At 45.9% G+C, this 19,373-nt stretch overlaps 1 protein-coding gene and 1 long non-coding RNA gene across 2 annotated transcripts in view, besides 8 other annotated features; one reads left to right on the top strand and one right to left on the bottom strand.

The window, feature by feature from the left end:
• KDM4A (lysine demethylase 4A) overlaps positions 1-18,586 on the bottom strand; it is a 55,370-nt gene extending 36,784 nt beyond the window's left edge. The window contains exons 1-9 of the mRNA NM_014663.3: positions 18,483-18,586; positions 15,422-15,598; positions 12,969-13,144; positions 8,323-8,437; positions 5,648-5,841; positions 2,990-3,039; positions 2,180-2,283; positions 1,644-1,781; positions 716-963 (exon numbers count right to left, since the gene is read on the bottom strand). Coding sequence (NP_055478.2) covers positions 716-963; positions 1,644-1,781; positions 2,180-2,283; positions 2,990-3,039; positions 5,648-5,841; positions 8,323-8,437; positions 12,969-13,144; positions 15,422-15,559 — 1,163 coding nt within the window. The 5' untranslated portion in view covers positions 15,560-15,598; positions 18,483-18,586. The remainder of the gene's footprint in view (positions 1-715; positions 964-1,643; positions 1,782-2,179; positions 2,284-2,989; positions 3,040-5,647; positions 5,842-8,322; positions 8,438-12,968; positions 13,145-15,421; positions 15,599-18,482) is intronic.
• On the top strand, positions 903-5,105 carry LOC124904165 (uncharacterized). Its single transcript, XR_007066050.1, has 3 exons — positions 903-991; positions 1,623-1,877; positions 3,744-5,105. It is a non-coding gene; the product is annotated as an uncharacterized LOC124904165 (long non-coding RNA).
• Positions 1,224-2,423: an enhancer, noted in NCBI's record as "BRD4-independent group 4 enhancer chr1:44131983-44133182 (GRCh37/hg19 assembly coordinates)". NCBI's record gives its function as "activates an origin of replication core promoter dependent on BRD2, P300/CBP, MED14 and CDK7 cofactors, and independent of BRD4, by STARR-seq in HCT116 cells {active_cell/tissue: HCT116}" and the evidence as "EXISTENCE:reporter gene assay evidence [ECO:0000049][PMID:35650434]".
• Positions 4,065-4,124: an enhancer, noted in NCBI's record as "active region_921". NCBI's record gives its function as "activates an Ori minimal core promoter by ATAC-STARR-seq in GM12878 lymphoblastoid cells {active_cell/tissue: GM12878}" and the evidence as "EXISTENCE:reporter gene assay evidence [ECO:0000049][PMID:35858748]".
• Positions 4,415-4,494: an enhancer, noted in NCBI's record as "active region_920". NCBI's record gives its function as "activates an Ori minimal core promoter by ATAC-STARR-seq in GM12878 lymphoblastoid cells {active_cell/tissue: GM12878}" and the evidence as "EXISTENCE:reporter gene assay evidence [ECO:0000049][PMID:35858748]".
• Positions 7,601-8,276: an enhancer, noted in NCBI's record as "OCT4-NANOG-H3K27ac-H3K4me1 hESC enhancer chr1:44126130-44126805 (GRCh37/hg19 assembly coordinates)". NCBI's record gives its function as "activates a minimal SCP1, AML or CMV promoter by ChIP-STARR-seq in naive and primed H9 embryonic stem cells {active_cell/tissue: H9 hESC(naive and primed)}" and the evidence as "EXISTENCE:reporter gene assay evidence [ECO:0000049][PMID:30033119]".
• Positions 7,601-8,277: a biological region, named in NCBI's record as "OCT4-NANOG-H3K27ac-H3K4me1 hESC enhancer GRCh37_chr1:44126130-44126805".
• Positions 7,983-8,277: a silencer, noted in NCBI's record as "tiled region #8117; K562 Repressive non-DNase unmatched - State 15:Elon". NCBI's record gives its function as "represses a minimal TATA promoter and a strong SV40 promoter by Sharpr-MPRA in K562 cells {active_cell/tissue: K562}" and the evidence as "EXISTENCE:reporter gene assay evidence [ECO:0000049][PMID:27701403]".
• Positions 8,277-8,953: an enhancer, noted in NCBI's record as "OCT4-NANOG hESC enhancer chr1:44125453-44126129 (GRCh37/hg19 assembly coordinates)". NCBI's record gives its function as "activates a minimal SCP1, AML or CMV promoter by ChIP-STARR-seq in naive and primed H9 embryonic stem cells {active_cell/tissue: H9 hESC(naive and primed)}" and the evidence as "EXISTENCE:reporter gene assay evidence [ECO:0000049][PMID:30033119]".
• Positions 18,700-18,819: a silencer, noted in NCBI's record as "silent region_788". NCBI's record gives its function as "represses an Ori minimal core promoter by ATAC-STARR-seq in GM12878 lymphoblastoid cells {active_cell/tissue: GM12878}" and the evidence as "EXISTENCE:reporter gene assay evidence [ECO:0000049][PMID:35858748]".

Genomic DNA, 19,373 nt, shown 5'->3' with positions numbered 1-19,373 from the left:
CACCAATAGCACTGCAGACTTAAATCACGACATTACCAATGCCCTTGAGTCTCATCCTCACTACACTTCTTTTTAAAAGACTCTCTGATATGATGAGAAAACATGACTTTTCTGGCTCAGAGGGAGCCCGACCTTCGCACATAAATGCCCCCGACCCTCATATAACTGACGCCTTGCTCCAGCAGACTACACGCCCACTACAGGTCTCTCATTCAGAAAGTGCCTGAATGCTCTGGCTCTCAGGTTTCTGGAGCCTTTACCAAGAACACTCCCTTAGCCAAGGCACAAACGGCATCTTAGAAACAGCCTCGGCCGGGCGCGGTGGCTCACACCTGTAATCCCAGCACTTTGGGAGGCCGAGGTGGGCGGATCACGAGGTCAGGAGATCGAGACCGTCCTGGCTAACACAGTGAAACCCTGTCTCTACTAAAAATACAAAAAATTAGCCAGGCGTGGCTGTAGGTGCCTGTAGTCCCAGCTACTCGGGAGGCTGAGGCAGAAGAATGGCCTGAACCCGGGAGGCGGGGCTTGCAGTGAGCCGAGATCGCACCACTGCACTCCAGCCTGGGCGACAGAGCGAGACTCCATCAAAAACAAAAACAAAAACAAAAACAAAACAAAACAAAAAAAACAAGAAACAGCCTCTCCACAGATTACAGGACCTACCCAGACATCCCTCCCTCACGCAGCCAGGACAAAAGGGCTGCTGGGTTACCTTGTCTTCAGGTCTCCTTCCTCTCCATCCTCCACCCCTTCCATGTCCTCCTCTGGGCACTCCTCCTCGTTGCCAGCTCTTGGAGGCAGTTCACTCTCCTTAAGAAACTCAGCTGCTTCTGGCGTGGGCAGAGTATGGTCAATAACTGTGTTGTCCTTCCCAGCTTTCCAAAGTTTGTACCTTTCTGGCTGGAACTTTCTCACAAACACATCCATGGAGATCTTCACCATGTCCTTTCTACAGGAGCACTGTCAGCAGGAACCAGAAGAGCACCAGGTGAGCATACCTTGCTGCTTCCAACTCACCCCCACGTCCTAGCTCCTCCCTCCACATGGAAACAAGTGCAAGATGGTTTATAACCAGATTGTTTTGGTTCACAGGCTGAGGGCATGTTATCCTTGCAGGACCTTCAAACATGAAGGGAAGCAGGGAAAAAAAGGCAGAGAGCACATGCTACTGGGGCAAATCTACCTGGGCACTAACTCGGGGTCACAGAGGGTGGTTAGGCTCTGCACTTAGGCCCCCAGGACGGTGAGCCACCTGCCCTTGTTCCCTGTCCAAGCCAGGAACACACAAGCAAGTCTACTACTATCAGTCAAAGGCCCGACCCTGCTGCTTCCCTAGAGTAAAGGAAACCCCTAAAAATTTCAACAGAGAAATCTCGGAATGGATAAACAAGAGTATTAACGTGTGTGGATGTGGTTTTAATGCCTAATGGACTTAAGAACCTCATTTTATACTTCCCAATTCTGAACACATTTTTAAAAATTCCTTATGAACACAAAATGTTAGTACTCTGACACATTGCTAGCTGCTTGTTTCTGAATTCCAGCAGCTCAAAGAAATACTCTAATCACCAGCCAACGTATCTAACCAGAATTTGCTCATTTTTGTCATGGTGTTATAGAAAGAAATCAAGCAGACTTACCAGCACAGCTTGCTTGCCGTACTCAATCCACCGACGGGTAGCAAAATTGGTAGACTCCGCACAGTTAAAACCATGGTTAAAGCCGGCATGGTAACCATAAGGGAAAGTGATCATAAACTCTCCAGCCTCTTGAGTCACCTGAACAAGAGCAGACTTGAAGCAGCTGCTTCAAATGGCAGAAGTCCACAGAACTGGAATTCTGAGCTCCACCACAACTTAGCTGAGTAACAAAGGGTAAGTCATAAAACCCCTGGGGTCCTTGCTGTCTTCTATAAAATGCAAAGCCCAGACATATCAGATGACATGACTATAATTAACCATTCCTCCAAATGAACACTGTTCTAGGGGATCTGACTCTCCTCTGGCACCAGGAAGCTACAGTGGCCCCACCTTTAATGCTCTTAGATCAAAGTGTTGTTACATAGTTTATTTAAGCTTTGGCCCCCTCTTGGTATAGTGATGAACTAGAATAAAACTGTAAAACAAAGGCCAGAAAGGGTGGTGCCTGAGAACTTTGGCATGTAACATCAGCTCACCTTGTCAAAGGGAATTCCATATTTCTTCAGCATTAACGGGGAAATCAGGGTCATCTTGTGGCGGAGAAATGCCTCACAGCTTTGAGCACTTCCTGGGAAAAAGCCTATTTAATTGAAAGGGTACAGGTTAACACAGTGCTCCACACTAGCTCCGCAATCCTGGAGTCACTTCACACCTGTGCTTCTCATCGGAATGATAAAGAGGATGCATCACCAATGTGACCTCTGAGGATCCTTATAGCTCCGCACCAATTCTAAGATTCTGCAATGAGCCTCTAGGCTCACTCCCATGTAGGGCATTACGTGGGTAATGAAATCCTGTTTGGGAAACCAAGGTCACCCAAGCTGCCTCTGTTCTTATAGAGCTTTGAAACTATTTAGGACCTTTTCTCCAGTCACTTGTATCCCTGATCTTTTTTCAGTAATGCAGCTGTAGTATCATCTACCCAGGCTTTCCTATGTTCTCCAGACATACAAATCTAAGTCCACTTAAAAGAAACAAAGCATAAAGTTCAATTTTTTCTTTAACATTTGGGTCTTTAGTGGAAACACCAGTCATACTGGGTCTGGTTCATTATCGCTGGTCAAAGAAACACCCCTGCTCATTAAAACTGAGGCACAGACAGTCAGGACAAAGGAAGAAAAGGCTCCGTCACTGCCCTCTTAAGGTAACCAGTGTGGCTCACCCCCGTCTGCAGGCCTGCAACAGGACCTGCAAGTATCTGACCATGGGGAACGCACATTTTAGTGCAGAGCAAGGAGCACAGCTCATAGGAGGGTCCAATCCAGCAAACAGAAGAGACACAGTACCTTTGGCGAGGCGTTCCAACCGCTTTCCATGCTCAGGTGGAACAGAGTACCTGCAATCACATGAGAGCATCAGAGGCTGGGTGGAGGGCAGGTACAGAAGCTAAGGGACTTATTCCCACTCTCAAAACACCTTGAAATAGCAGATTTTTTTTTTAACTTCCCAAGCAGTAGAAAGGAATCTGAAAAAATGAAATATTAGACTGTTTGGGCACAGGAGTAAGGAGCCCATAAAGAAGGTGAGTGAATTTATTTCTTCTATATTCATTCACTTAATAAGATGTTTATTAAGTGTTCACCATGAGCCAGGATTTACGGTACATAATATTACTCTCCTTTATAATGTTGTTCATATAATAACATTTTTTAAAAGAAAAAAAAAGAAGGATGTCACTATATAACCTCAGTATTTAAAAATGCTCAGTATTTTTAAATGCTTGAAAGGCCTAACTGGGGGCAGGCAAGAGGAAGATGGAAAACAAAGTGAAAGATGGATCTGACACTTAAGAGACCTAGCCCCGTATCTGCTGATGAACCCACTTTCCCTTTATCTCCCCAACAGCTACATATACTGATTACCCAACAATCAATTACCTCTCTACCCAGTAGGGTGTCTAAACACCATAGAAACTGCTCTTCCTAAAAAATGAAAAGTAAAAAAGAACACCTAGGACTATTAAACTTTTGCAAAATTGTTAAACTTTATATTCTGAAACTCACAGTAACTCTGTTTTAACCTTTTTAATCTCTTCTGAAGATTATTCCACAGTAACAACAAATCCTCCCACTGCAAACAGCTTCATTATAAAACAAAACAGAGAAGAAGAGTTGACAAAAATGTCACCTAAAGGACTCTGGGATCCATCAGGCAACCCTATACAGAAGGCTCTGGAGGTCCCACTTCAGAGGACCTAAGAATGTATATAATAACTGGAAAACCTTCTTTTATAAGAGAATTCAAAAATCCAGGAGCAGTGAATTTTGGAGTAAACAATGGTGAAGACACAAAAGCTACATTTACACATCCTACAAGTCTAGCCTTCTGAGGAAGGAAAAACAGGACAGTAGTTAGGAGATAATCATAGGCTCAAAAGGTTCTTTCCCCCAAGATTAGAAACTGGAGAGCACTTGAAAGAAGAAAGGAAAACCCCTGAGAAAGAACATGGCTGAAGATGCTGAAAAAAGACCTGAAAGTGGATATGGTTTTCATGACTCCCCATAATGTGCCCCATGATGTCCCCTCCGGCCTCATCACTCACTTCTCATCGTTTTACACAGCACCCAAACTACAGCAGACTCCCCCTAGCTCCCTAAACACACCACGCCTGGCTAATTTTGTGTTTTTAGTAGAGACGGGTTTCACCATGTTGGCCAGGCTGGTCTCCAACTCCTGACTTCAGGTGATCCACCCACCTCGGCTTCCCAAAGTGCTGGGATTACAGGTGTGAGCCACCACGCCTGGCCCTCATGTGCTGTCTTAATCCAGGAGCTCTGCGTCTGTGGTTCCAACTGCCTGGATACACTTCCCTCAATCTCCCAGCTGCTAAGCCCACCACCACTCCACCCGGTTATGTCCTTCTCATGTTTTAGGTCTCACTTGTCACCTCTTTGAAAGAAGCCTTCTTTAATCCCATCTATCCTTCTTATGTGGACCTTAGCACCCACTTCTTCCCCTTCAGAGCTGTCCCCACACCGTATGAGCATTCTCTCACACTTTCTACCTCCTGACCAGTCTCCTATCTGTGTGAGGGTAGGTATCTCATCCATCTTATTCACTGCTGTTATCTGCAGCACCTTCACTAAAATGCTGAGATGGGCCGGGTACAGTGGCTCATGCCTGTAATCCTAGCACTTTGCAAGGCTGAAGTAGGAGGACTGCTTGAGCCCAGGAGTTTGAGACCAGCCTGTGCAACATAGTGAGACCCCATCTCTACCCTAAAAAAAAAGAAGGAAAAAAATTAGCTGGGCATAGTGGTGCACGCCTGTAAACCCAGCTACCTGGGAGGCTGAAGTAGAAGGATCACTTGAGCCCAGGAGGTCAAGGCTGCAGTGAGCCATAATGGTGCCACTGCACTCCAGCCTGGGTGACAGAGTGAGACCCTGTCTCAAAATAGAAAAAAAAAAATGCTGAGACTCAAAGATGGGTCAGCACAGAGAGAGGAGAGAGAACCAATGTTTGTCTCACCAACAAGAATAACACTCTGGAGAACAGGAAGCATGCTGAATAGCCTCGCAATCCCTTATGTGTTAAGCACACACTGCTGCTCCCCAAGTATTAGTATTTTTTCCATGACGAAAAGAAAGCTTTCTGTCATCTGAGAGAGTGACTCTAGTCTTGGAAGTCTGCTGCTAAGAAATGCCTCAGGCCTGTTCAGAAAAAAAATTAGAAAGCAGTGGGATAGCCTGGAAGAGCCCCCGTGTCTTTGGGTAACTGCCAGCACCCTGCTCTCTAAAGCCTCCCTACTCAAAAGGTGGTCCGAGCACCAGAGCTCCAACAGCAAGCATCTTAGCACTTGAAAGTGTGTTTAAAACATGGAATGTCACCCCAAGCCTGAACCAGGGTCTGCCCTTTAACACAATCCTGAGGTGCTTCCCACGCACAATGAACATGAGCCCGTGCTCTAGCATAGAAGCCCGGTGCCGACTGCAGGCAGACTGTACCAGGACTTTGGTTCTCCAAAGTGCAGGTAGTTGATGCTGTAGAGGTCCATGTCTTCAGTGTGCCAAGCAAAGGATGTCTTCCACATGCCAAAGTACAGGTATGGGGTGTTCACACCCTCAATGGTGATCCCACTCTCCTTTTCCACCAAGTCCAGGATTGTTCTCAGCCGGCCAATATTCCACTCATCAACATGCTGCAAAGGCAATGACAGTCCAGGGCAAGTTACATTTGCATAGAAACCGAGGCTCTGAACCTACAAATCAGAGTAGGTCACAAGTAAGCTGTCATCTCTGACAAACATTGGGAATAATGTCAAAACACTATGGACGTGAAGACCATAGCATTCCTCATTGACTTTCACGGCTACCACTGGAACTGACACCATTTACCTTCAAAGGGCAAATATTACTTTGTGAATACTAGTGTAGGAAAGATGAATAAAGAGATGACAGTCACCTGTTTGTTTTTTCGTTTGTTTTTGAGACGGAGTCTCGCTCTGTTGCTCAGGCTGGAGTGCAGTGGCATGATCTTGGCTCACTGCAACCTCCGCCTCCCGGGCTCAAGCAATTCCCTGCTTCAGCCTCCCGCGCACCTGGGATTACAGGCACCCACCACCATGCCCAACTAATTTTTCTATTTTTAGTAGAGCCGGGGTTTCACCATCTTGGCCAGGCTGGTCTTCAACTCCTGACCTTGTGATCCACCCGCCTTGGCCTCCCAAAGTGCTGGGATTACAGGCCTGAGCCACCGCGCCCGACCAAGAGTCACCTGTTTGAAACCCCAAGAGGAAAAGTTTGAACTGATGCTAAAGAAATTTAGGTCAAAATAGAAAAAAAACTCTATGACCACAAAAAAAAAAATCGCAAAACATGGGAACTATGACAGTGGGCCAGGTGTGGTGGCTCACGCCTGTAATCTCAACACTTTGGGAGGCCAAGGCAGGATTGCTTGAGCCCAGGAGTTCAAGACCATCCTGGGCAACAAAGCAAGGCCCAGTCTCTACAAAAAAATTACAAATTAAAAAAAGTAGCCAGGTGAAGTGGCATGTGCCTGCAGTCTCAGCTACTTGGGAGGGTGAAGCAGGAGGATCCCTTGACCCCGGTGTTTGAGGTTACAGTAATCTATGATCATACCACTAACCTCTAGCCTGGGTGGCAGGGCGAGACTCTGTCTCAAAAACAAAAGAACAAAAAACTATGGCAATGTTGTGGCTTTTTAGCCCTGATTTCCACCAGGCAGTGTCTTCATAAAAAATGTGGAATATCCTTTTCCCGAGTTGTAATGGCCAGCTGGGAGCCCATCTCCCATAACTAGGTCCTGTATTATTATTATGCCTGACTTTTGTAGCTCTCCATCCCAGATCCTTACAGCATCTTCCTGCCATTCATCCCTACAAGACTGACTTTCCCTGACCCCCAAAAACTGCTATCAACAAAACTGGAATTCTTTTTTTTTTTTTTTTTTTTTTTTTTTTTTTTGAGACAGAGTCTTGCTCTGTCACCCAGGCTGGAGTGCAGTGGTGCAATCTCGGCTCACTGCAAGCTCTGCCTCCCGCCGGGTTCACACCATTCTCCTGCCTCAGCCTCCAGAGTAGCTGGGACTACAGGCGCCCGCTACTGCAGGCTACTTTTTTTTTATTTTTAGTAGAGACGGGGTTTCACCATGTCAGCCAGAGTGGTCTCAATCTCCTGACCTCCTGATCCATCCACCTCAGCCTCCCAAAGTGCTGGGATTACAGATGTGAGCCACCACACCCGGCCTGGAATTCATTTTTTTAACTCTTCCAATAATTGATAAAAACATTAAAATATGGGCCAAGCGCAGTGGCTCACACCTGTAATTCTAGCACTTTGGGAGGCTGAGGCAGGTGGATCACCTGAGGTCGGGAGTTTAAAACCAGCCTGAGCAACATGGAGAAACCCCGTCTCTACTAAAAAATACAAAATTAGCCGGGCATGGTGGCGCATGCCTATAATCCCAGCTACTCAGGTGGCTGAGGCAGGAGAATCACTTGAACCCGGGAGGCGGAGGTTGCGGTAAGCTGAGATCGCGCCATTGCACTCCAGCCCGGGCAACAAAAGCGAAACTCCGTCTCAAAAAAAAAAAAAATTAAAATATGAAAACAATTATGAGTGATAATCCCTGAATGCCCTACTGTTTTTCAGTCATCTGAAGATATTCCCAAATATTCTCCCCTTTCACCATATTTAAGGCAGGATTTCAAGCCAATAAAAGTGGTTAAAATAGCTTTTGCCACAGAATCTTGTTTGAGGGTTCTGAAAAATCTAAATGTATTTCTCTTCTTAAATGTATACCCCTTTCATTAGATTAGTCAGTCATCTTTTTTCTGCAGAAACCACACTGCCTCATTTCATTATCTGAGAGCCAACCCACCCTTTCAAGAACTCATCAGCTACCACCCACCGACTATGCTAACAACCCTTGAAAAGAACACCACATCATCCAATTCACATGTAAAGCAGGAGAAATAAAATTCAGTCACATGCAAAATGGCCCACAATTAGGCCAGCACAGCAACATCAGCTGGGGGTAGATCATCTGTTCATCCACCCATTCACCAAACAGCTTTTAGGTGCCTACTACGTGCCGGGCCGAAAAAAAGGTATTACAAAATTACAAAAACACTGCACAGAGGGTTTCCAGTGAGCCTCACCTTTTCATAGAGGGTACCATTCACATCTGCACCATAGATTGGAGGATTGAATGTAAGATTTTTCCAGTATTTCCGCTCGAGCTCTTCAAACTCACTATAGCGTGGGGTACAGTACCTTTTTGAAAGTAAAAAGAAACATGTAAACCACTTACAGGGGTTTATTAGGCATTATGAACATTACAAGACATAATCCCCTATTCCAGTGACAGCAAGAATTTCAAATGAACAAGGCATAATCTTGGCCTTCAAGGCTCTAATACGTAGTCAGTCCCTCAACGTCCCTTCCATGAGCACTGGGCCTGAGGAAGCCTGAGGAAGGTAATGTACACACAGATGTAAACCGGTCTTCCTTAACAAGCACAACATCCTCAACTCTCTGAAGAGACTCTACTTAAACTACACCTTGCTAGATTCAGGTGGCCACCCAGGGAGAAAATGGGCTTACAGACCAAGACCCAAGGTCCCTACATATCCACAGACAACCAAAACCCAGCAGCATGTGAAGAGCTAAGGCTTTCCAACAGCATTCACCTCCCTGAACCAGCCAAAAGGAAGCTGCTCCAAGAGGGCTCATTTGTAAGTACCCCTGCTATATGCCCAAGCGCCCTACGCAGTGGCTGACACTCACCAAGTAATCACTCCTAAAAACAACAAATATTTTAGTAAAAATATAAAATAGCTCTAAAAATATAGATTTTTGCACATCCAATATTCCAATTAGGAAAATACGTACTCACATATACGCATATTTATATCTACCTATCTACATAAAGCCATAAAAATATCTACACTTTGGCCAGGGGTGTGGCTCACACCTGTTATCCCAGCACTTTGGGAGGCCTGGCGGGGGCGGATCACCTGAGGTCAGGAGTTCAAGACCAGCCTGGCCAACATGGTGAAACCTGGTCTCTACTAAAAATACAAAAATTAGAGGGGCGTGGTGGCACACGCCTGTAATCCCAGCTATTTAGGGTGGGGGCTGAGGCAGGAGAATTACTTAAACCCAGGAGGAGGAGTCTGCAGTGAGCTGAGCTAACTAACGCCACTGCACTCCAGCCTCGGCCATAGAGTAAAACTCTGTCTCAAAAAAAGAAAAGAAAACTATACCTTAAAAAAAACTATACAAGATCCTTGCTCTGCTGCCCAGCCTGGAGCACAGTGGTGTGATCATAGCTTACTGTAGCCTCGAACTCCTGGGCTCAAGCAATCCTCCTGCCCTAACCTCCCGAGTAGCCAGGACTGCAAGTGTACACCACCACATCTGGTGTTTTTATTTTTTGTAGAAATGAAGTCCTGCAATGTTGCCCAGGTTGGTCTCAAATTCCTGGCCTCCAGTGATCCTCCAACCTCGGCCTCCCAAAGTGATGGGATTATAGAAGTTAGCCAATGCACCCAGTCTAAAAATATCTATACTCTTTAGCTTAATACTGAAAATTTAATTAAAAAAAAAAAAACTTCTTTTAGATTCAAACTAGCCAAGTACAGTGGCTCATGCCTGTAATCCCAACACTTTGGGAGGCTGAGGCAGGAGGATCACTTGAGCCCAAGAGTTTGAGACCAGCAACATGGCAAAATCCTATTTCTACAAAAACTTTAAAAATTAGCAGAGCTGGCCAGCAGCAATGGCTCACGCCTGTAATCCCAGCACTTGGGAGGCCCAGGCAGGCGGATCACAAGGTCAGGAGATCAAGACCATCCTGTCTAACATGGTGAAACCCTGTATCTACAACAAATACAAAAAATTAGCCGGGTGGTGTGGCGGGCGCCTATAGTCCCAGCTACTTGGGAAGCTGAGGCAGGAGAATTGCTTGAACCCAGGAGGCGGAGATTGCAGTGAGCCTAAATAGCACCACTGCACTCTAGCCCGCGCCACAGAGTAAGACTCCATCTCAAAAAAAAAAAAAAAAAAATCTGACTAAGTAACTGCCTTACACTTTAATGTCAACCTAGGGAATAATAAATTTTAGAGACCTAACATTCTCTCTGAAATACAATTAACTCCCCTATTGTCAACTAATCTGTTTCATGAATTTAGGTTTTTAGGTTGGGCACGGTGGCTCATGCCTGTAATCCCAGCATTTGGGAGGCCAAGGCAGGCTGATCACTTGAGGCCAACAGTTCGAGACCAGCCTGACCAACATGGTGAAACCCCGTCTCTACTAAAAATACAAAAAAATTAGCCAGGCGTGGTGGTGGGCACCTGTAATCCCAGCTACATGGGAGGCTGAGGTAGGAGAATCGCTTAAACCTGGGAGGCAGAGATTGCAGTGAGTGAGATTGTGCCACTGCACTCCAGCCTGGGCAACACAGCGAGACTCTGTCTCAAAAAAAAAAAAAAAAAGTTATGTTTTTACTTTAAAGGTAATCTGCTATGTATTAGGACGAAAGGAATAGACATAGGGCTGGTTAATTTAAAAGGAAAACAAGTGTGCTAAAAGAAGAAAAAGCGAGACCAGCCTGGCCAATATGGTGAAACCCCATCTCTACTAAAAATACAAAAAAATTGGCCGGGCGTGGTGGCGGGCTCCCAGCTACTCGGGAGGCCGAGGAAGGAAAATCACTTGAACCTGGGAGGCGGAGGCTGCAATGAGCCAAGATTGTGCCACTGCACTCCAGCCTGGGTGACAGAGCGACACTCCATCTCAAAAAAAAAAAAAAAAAAGAAAAGAAAAAGCCTTAACAAAAAGGGAAAAAAGGCTGAGGAGACTGAAGCCCCTGGCTGAATTCCATGTGAGAAACAGAAGGCAGGTGAGTTTGCTCCTCATGTGTAGCAAAAATCAGACAATAAGGATGGCAGGAAGGATACAGCCTTTCACCTGCAGAGCCCCACATTTCTTCAACATGCCTTTATGTAAATTCTCTCATCGGTCAGCAGGTTGGCCAGCAAGGTAGATGTTTTAAGAGTTAAGGTTGGCCGGGCACGGTGGCTCACACCTGTAATCCCAGCCCTTTGGGAGGCCAAGGCGGGTGGATCACGAGGTCAAGAGATCGAGACCATCCTGGCCAACATGGTGAAACCCTGCCTCTGCTAAAAATACAAAAATTAGCTAGGTGTGGTGGTGGGCGCCTGTAATCCCAGCTGCTCAGGAGACTGAGGCAGGAGAATTGCTTGAACCCAGGAGGCGGAGGCTGCAGTGAGCCGAGATCACGCCACTGCACTCTAGCCTGGCGACAGAGCGAGATTCTGTCTCAAAAAAAAAAATAAATAAAAGGAGTTAAGGTGTCAGCCGGATGCAGTGGCTCATGCCTATAATCCCAGCACTTTGGGAGGCTGAGGCAGGAGGATCGCTTGAGCCCAGGAGTTCAAGACCAAACTGGGCAGCAAATAATAAAAAATATTAGCTGAGCGCGGTAGCACATGCCTATCTATACCTCCAGTTACTTGGGAGGCTGAGCAAGGAGGATCATTTTGAGCCTGGGCAGTCGAGGCTGCAGTAAGCCATGATTGCACCACTACACTCCAACTTGGGTGACAGTAGAGACGGTGAAACCCCGTCTCTACTAAAAATACAAAAATTAGCCAGGCGTGGTGGCAGGCGCCTGTATGTAATCCCAGCTACTCGGGAGGCTGAGACAGGAGAATTGCTTGAACCCGGGAGGTGGAGGTTGCAGTGAGCCGAGACTGCACCATTGCACTCCAGCCTGGGGAACGAGCGAGACTCCACCTCAAAAAAAAAAAAAGATGGAGTAGTCAGAGCTGAACAAGGAAACACAAAATTTATTCTCTGTGAATCTCAGGAAAAATGAGAACTAAACATTAAAAACAGCGGAGAAGGGCCAGGAGTGGTGGCTCTTGCCTGTAATCCCAGCACTTTGGGAGGCCAAGGCAGGAGGATCACTTGAGGTCAGGAGTTCAAGACCAGCCTGGCCAATGTGGCGAAACCCTGTCTCTACTGAAAATACAAAAAATAGCCAAGCATGGTGGCGCGTGCCTGTAGTCCCAGCTACTTGGGAGGCTGAGGCAGGAGAATCACGTGAACCTGGGAGACAGAGGTTGCAGTGAGCCAAGATCACTCCACTGCACTCCAGCCTGGGCAATAAAGTGAGACACCATCTCAAAAAAAAAAAAAAAAAAAAAAAAAACCAACAGCAGAGAAGAACTGAAAACAGGCCTACACAAAGAAAGATATCTCTAAAAGAGACAGGAATGTACAGAGAAAGAAGGAGTGACAGAAAATAGCAACCAGCTTGGTGGTTTACTCACACTGTTAATGTCAAAACAGAAATGAGCTAGCAGGCTGGATGGGCAGTGAGAAATTCCAGCACAATTAAACACAGAGCATCCCGAGAGAGAGGAAGTGGAACTAAAGCACTTTTGATGAGCAGGTGGTTGATAATACCCAGCAAAAGCTCCTTGTGCACCACATCCAACTTTCTCCTTGCAACTTTAGAGTCAGAAAATGATTCTACTTCTGATGGAAAAACAATGGGATTTGTTGTTATAAGAACAGGAACAGGTTTAGACTGGGACACAGTCCTGAGAGGAGGGAATGCTTCCATAAAAAAAGCAGAAAGGGAGACAGCTAGAACAGAGCCATCCTGCTGAAGACACTGTTCATCAGGACAGCAGCAGTCCTGGAGATGCTAGGAGGATGAGACACCAGGGTCCTAGGTGCTATGTCAGGTAAGAAAGGGTTTCCACTCACTTATCGCTATTGGCTATCTTGCGGAACTCTCGAACAGTCATGGCTTTCTTCTGTATGTTGTACTGAGTAAAGAGGCCAGACTGCCCCGTCACCAGCTGTTGAATGGGGGCAGGAATGACCAAATCATCAATGTCATCATAGGATGCTCGTGGCTTCCACTCTTTTGGAGGAACAACCTGAAGGGAACACAAGAAACAAAAAGACAGATGAGAAACCTGGCAAGCCAGTCAGAGTCCAGGAAGCATGTAGTTACCAGCCAACCTAACAGTCAATTTTACTAGACAGTTACTTTGATTTACCCACATTCACCAAAACACAGTAAGTCACAGGCATGCTAACCCTGATCCACTTTTGCCACCAACCAGCTGCCTAATTGCAGCAACCTAAGGTAAGTAATACTTGTTCCCAGCTTCAGTATCTTATTTGGACACCAAGAAAGGAGATTAAAGACTTGATTCTCTCTCAATCTCCTAGCCCAGGGCTCTCTTTAAAAAAATCACAAACACAACTTTACTTGATTTGGTCAACTCTATACTTGTACAGAATTTCCTTTTTTCACACACTAGATTACAGTTTAATTACAAAGAAGCATAACATTCTTAAAAATCTAATCTTGAGGCCGGGCACAGTGGCTCATGCCGGTAATCCCAGCACTTTGGGAGGCCGAGGCAGGTGGATCACCTGAGGTCAGAGTTTGAGATCAGCTTGGCCAACATGGTGAAACCCCATCTCTACTAAAAACACAAAAATTAGCCTGGTGTGGTGGCACTCAACTATAATCCCGGCTATTTGGGGGGCTGATGCAGGAGAATCGCTTGAACCCGGAGGCAGAGGTTGCAGTGAGCCAAGATTGCGCCATTGCACTCCAGCTGGGGTAACAAGAGCGAAACTCCATCTCAAAAAAAAACAAAAAAAATCTAATCTTGAATAGTTAAGTAAGATAGATCTGCTTTATGGAATACTATACAGCTTTTTTTTTTTTAATTAGAGAGTATTGTTTTACTTTATGTAACAAGGGAGAAAACAACACACACACACACACACACACACACACACACACACACTCACAAGCATCTGCATAAGGCAACACTGAAAGGACATATAAGAAAATACGGAAAGGGAGCAAGACTCTACATTAGCTACCTTCCAATAGCATTCTGTTTTTACTCACATAATCAAATTACCCATTCCAATAGTAATAAATTAACAAGACAGTCGACATGAGAAAAAAGAAGAATGAGTTGAATCCATAATTGACCTAGAGGGAGGAATATATGTTGTTAAAAAGGAAAAAAGAAAAAAAAAAAGAAAAAAGAATGAACGAACCAACACAGGAATGTATATGGCATGATGCCATTCTCTTTTAAAAACAAAACAAATAACACTATTTTATATGTGTGTATGTTTGTATGAGCAGAGAAAAAGGTGTGGAGGGAGCTAATACCACTTAAGGAGACGGCACTGGAGAAGGTGGATGAAGATCAGCCTTTTCTTTATCTGCGTTTGAAATATTTAACTTGTAATAACCGACATTTTTTTGGTAACTTTAAATCTAATAAAGTACAACCAAAAAAAGCAATGTGCTATGAAAAACTGCACTGCAGGCCCTGCTATTCCCGCCTGCTGTTATTAACCCAGCAGTAGCCGTATCTGCAGATAAGAAAGAGGATGTGGTCGTCTCAAGTCTCTGGAGGCACCAGGGTCCAAGACTGGTCCTCAGCTTTGTAGCCAATGTTCTTGCTTTCTCTTTTCATATTGAAAATGTAACAAGCACATATGGTAGGGAATTCAAACAACATAAAATGGTGTAAAAAATTTCCTCCTGGCTTAGACTGAGGTCCCTGCCTCTCAGTTTCCTGAGGATCTCTCCAGAAATGCAGTTCTTTCAGCTTCCAGCACTCAACCTGATTGTGACAGAATATATGAAAAGCTGATTTGACTCAGGAAAAATAACGAATCCAACTCACAGGAGAAAGAAGTACAAACCAGAAACCAATTTCAAATTACAAGGACCAGAATACTCATGTTGGCTGGCCAGTGCATTCTCTCCCCTTGAAGAAAGTCCACATGGGAAGCCAAATTGCTACTAGAGTGCTGGATGAGACTGAAATGAGAGCAAGAGAAGTCAGATGGCATAAGCACTCACTGGCAGTTCAATAACACCACAGCACCCAGCTCCACCAAGAGGGCTGAGGCACAACAGCAGCCAGGCCTGGAGACACTAGCTCTTTACCTCCCCCTTTCTGAAGATTCCAAGTAGCTCTCTTCCTACCTAAAAGCAGAGATGCTTCTGATGTTAACAACGGGAATTAACTTGCAAATAGAACCGCATTCACTAAAGTCATCACCCCACCCAACTTTCAGTAAAACACAGTTCCGGCCCAAATGTAGGAAAAAAATCTTACTGCTCTGCCCTAGGTAACAAAACCATTTGAACAATCCCAGCTCCTTACCTTGGCTAGCCCTGCCCGATGAGCTCCTTGGGATTCAATGTAGGCAATGTATCTACTGAAGTTTCGGAACTCTTCCATAGTTGGATAAAAGGTCATTATCCTAGCACTGGGATTCAGAGTTTCAGACTCAGAAGCCATTTTCCCTCCTTTTTGAGGTCCCTTTAGTCAGACAGGAATCTGAAGAAACACATTAAGAGTATAAAATAATATAAAAATTAAAATTAAGTGCTGGAAACATCAACTCTGAAAACAGTAAAAGATAATATAGAAATTCAAAAGACACAGTTAAGACTTCACACCTGGAATCTACCTCTAGAAAAGTTATTTAGGGGCCGGGCACGGTGGCTCACGCCTGTAATCCCAGCACTTTGGGAGGCCAAAGCGGGTGCATCGCCTGAGGTCATAAGTTTGAGACCAGCCTGGCCAACACAGTGAAACCCTGTCTCTACTAAAAATACAAAAAATTAGCTGGGCATGGTGGCGGGCACCTGCAATCCTAGCTACTCGGGAGGCTGAGGCAGGAGAATCACTTGAACCCGGGAGGCTAAAGGTTGCAGTGAGCCAAGATTGCGCCATCGCACTCCAGACTGGGCAACAAGAGCGAAACTCCGTCTCAAAAAAAAAAAAAAAAAAAGAAAGAAAGAAAGAAAGAAAAGTAATTTAGGGTGGGGGTGTGGTGGCTCAAGCCTGTAATCCCAGCACTTTGGGAGACTGAGGTGGGCAGATCGCTTGAGTTAAGGAGTTTGAGACCAGCCTGGGCAACATAGTGAGACCCTGTCTCAAAAAAAATTTTTTTTAAATAAACAACAAAAAGTTATTTAAATAAACTAGAAATACAGATCGAAAAGGTTCTGTTTAAAAAGAACCTGATGTATCAAAACTGCATGGATTCAAACCTTATTTCAACAGAGACATTGTTACTGCAATAGGATTGTTCTTGAAAGAAAAAAAAAAGAAAATTGTTTCAGCTAAAAAAAGGAAACTAATTATTTAGTTGTTGGTCCTAATAGTACAGCTAAAATGCCCATATTTTACCCTTATCCTTTCAAGCTACTCCCTTATTAACACCTTGCTAATCACTTTTCAGAGTATTAAACAGAATACACTACAACTTGAAAGCCACCCATGGCTGGGTGCGGTGGCTTACGCCTTGTAATCCCAGCACTTTGGGAGGCCAAGGCTCCTCCCTAGGGCACAGCTAAACCAGATACCTAATAAAAGTTACGTGGCTACAAGATAACAAAACTTAAGGGTTCAAAAGTACTTTGATATTAGTAACATGATTTAAAAGCCCTTTGATATTAGTAACATAATTTTAAAACCCTAAAGTGAAACTGTTCTGTTGAAACTAAGATGCAGTTTCAGCAGTACTTAATGAAATCAAGCTACAGACAAGTTCAGTTGCACTGTACCCAGAACTCAAAGGACAAAATTTAAACTGGCAATACACGGAAAACTTCATAACTGATTGGAGAAAGCAAAATAAATACTTTGTTTTTAGATGAGAACTTCAGCTAAGTGGGTGCATCCCCACAGCTCGGTAACGCAATAGACCACCTCAACTGAAAAAAGACAAAGCATATCAATGAAAATAGGCCATTCTAGAAGGAACACCAGTATGTCCTTTCCTTTACCCACCCTCCTCACTGAGGGTCCAGCAGTTCCGTACCCCCTATCTGGGGCCCAAAGGTATGGCGGTTCAGCTCCAAGACTCTCTTTGAGAGTTGGAGAGCTCAGAAAGGAGAAAAGCGCCTCCAATCCACCAGAAATCTAGTTACAGGCCTGGGAGCAGAACACGGAGCACAACTGTGTAAGGTAGGAGAGAAGGCAAATCCAGTTACCCGTATCTCCTAGGCTTCCTATCAAAAATAAGGCGTGTTTCTAAACAGGCGCTTTTCATGAACCTGGCAGAAACTTTGCATGGCAGGTATACTGTTCTCCCTGTTTTACATACCAGGAAATTTGCCCACAGCCCACTCTTAAGTGCACCTTCCACTGCTCTATACTGCTTACATACTCATCTCCACCTGGACTAAGTCCTCTGCAAGGGCAGCTCCAAGTGTGGAGAAACCCGAAGTTTATTTAATTTTGAAGACCCTCTTAAAAAGAAAAATGAATCCAAAATATCTTACTTTTGCACATTTTATAAAAACATACAATCATGTGAATACAATGTTGGGGCCCTTCCCCGGGCCTTCAAAGGGGCCCTAATGGGCTTCATCAGCCTCTGCCCCTATTCATCTTTGTATGCCTAGAACAATGCATGGCACAGAGTAGGCAATCGGTAACTGTTGAAAAACTGATTTCCTCACCCTCACCTCAATTGTTCATCCCTTCTTCAACCCTAGGATTCCCTTCCCCCAAATCTGTTCCCTGGGGAAAGCTCCCGTTTCATGACACCTTCCCTCCCAATCAGTAACAAAGCCTAGAGATTCAAGAACACCGGCTCCGAAGTCAAAACTCTGAATACAGATCCGGTCTCTGCCGTTTATTAGCTATGTGACCTTGGCTGTGTGAGCTGACTTGAGTCTCAGTTTCTCCACCTGTAAAATGGGGATCCCAACCCCCTGCCCTGCAGGGTCGCTGTGATTAGCTCAGATGATGCAAGCGAAGCACTAAGCACTAGGCCCGGTACTTACCCACTCAATAAAGCTAGCTGTTGCTAACAACCCCCTCGGACTCCCGCACCCTTCCCTCGCAGCCGCTCCCGCGAGCATCACTCCAAAGGCAGCGCACCCTGCTCCCCACCGTCCCCGAACCTCACCGCGCACAGGTTCGGCCCCTCCCGGCCCCGCCGCCTTGGCGAGTGAAGCTCGGCCGCAGGAAGAAGAAAATAAGGCCCAGATGACCCGCCCCCCTCTCCCGAGGTCCATTGGCCTTGAAGATTGGAAAGGACCAATCTCAGAACCCATTCTGGAAGCTCCTTCTCCTATTGGCCGAGAAACATGCCGATCACTCACCGCTGGAAGACCCACCCCCACCGCCCCTCCCCCACCAAAACTCACGGTCACTGCTACAGCGGCAATGATCCTCGAGAATTCCAAAACCCTATAGTTCTCACCTACAGCCCAAAGCCCCGCCAGGGCTTAGGCTCAGCTCCTGCTGTCGCCACTGGCCGATCCTACTGCTTTTCCAGCAGGCGAAGGCCGAAACTCCGCCTCCTCTAAAGTCGGCATCTGCGCAGCCGTACAGAGTCAACCAATTCAAGGGTGGCTGCAAGCCATACACCAGCCAATGAGCACGCGCCGCAGCCACCTCCCAGTCCCGACCTCAGTGTGCTCAGCCTATGAGCGCCGGCTCGGGCTGTTGCCGGGAGGAAACGCTGTACCACTAGGGACCGCGGCCAGTGAGCCTCTAGCTGGATCGCGAAGCTGGCCAATCATAGGCGGGCTCCTGGTCACCCATAACTAATCAGGGTTGAAAGAAGCTAGTACCTGGAAGTGGGCCGGTCCGGTAGATGGGTAAGGGCGGTGAGGTTACTATAGGATGTCGCTAACGAAAGGATAGGCCAAAGTTTTCTTGGGATGAGTATCCTCTTTGCCTAACGTGGAAATGTGTCGGGGCCCTTAGGGGCAGCTTCCGAGCTCAGGGAGTGCTGAAAAGATGACCGTCTTGTCCCGGTTTGTCCTGGGTGTCTCGGTTTTCAAAACAAAATCCCGTGGCCTTGGAAACCCCTCATTCGCTGTCAAGCCTGAACAGGGAAGGGAAGCTGCCCTGAGGGTCATTAGGACAGACCATGAGGGAGGCTCTCCTTAGGGTCATTAAAAAGCAATTCCTGGCCGGGCGTGGTCCCTCACGCCTGTAATCCCAGCACTTTGGGAGGCCGAGGCGGGCGGGTCACCTGAAGTCGGCAGTTTGAGACCGCCTGACCAACATGGAGAAACCCCGTCTCTACTCAAAAAAAAAATACAAAATTAGCCGGGCGTGGTGTTGCATGCCTGTAGTCCCAGCT

The sequence above is a fragment of the Homo sapiens genome, chromosome 1 (assembly GCF_000001405.40).
Source record: "Homo sapiens chromosome 1, GRCh38.p14 Primary Assembly".
NCBI classification, from domain to species: Eukaryota; Metazoa; Chordata; class Mammalia; order Primates; family Hominidae; genus Homo; species Homo sapiens.
The sequence above is the reverse complement of the archived record's forward strand: the minus strand, read 5'-3'. Positions and strand labels throughout refer to the sequence as shown.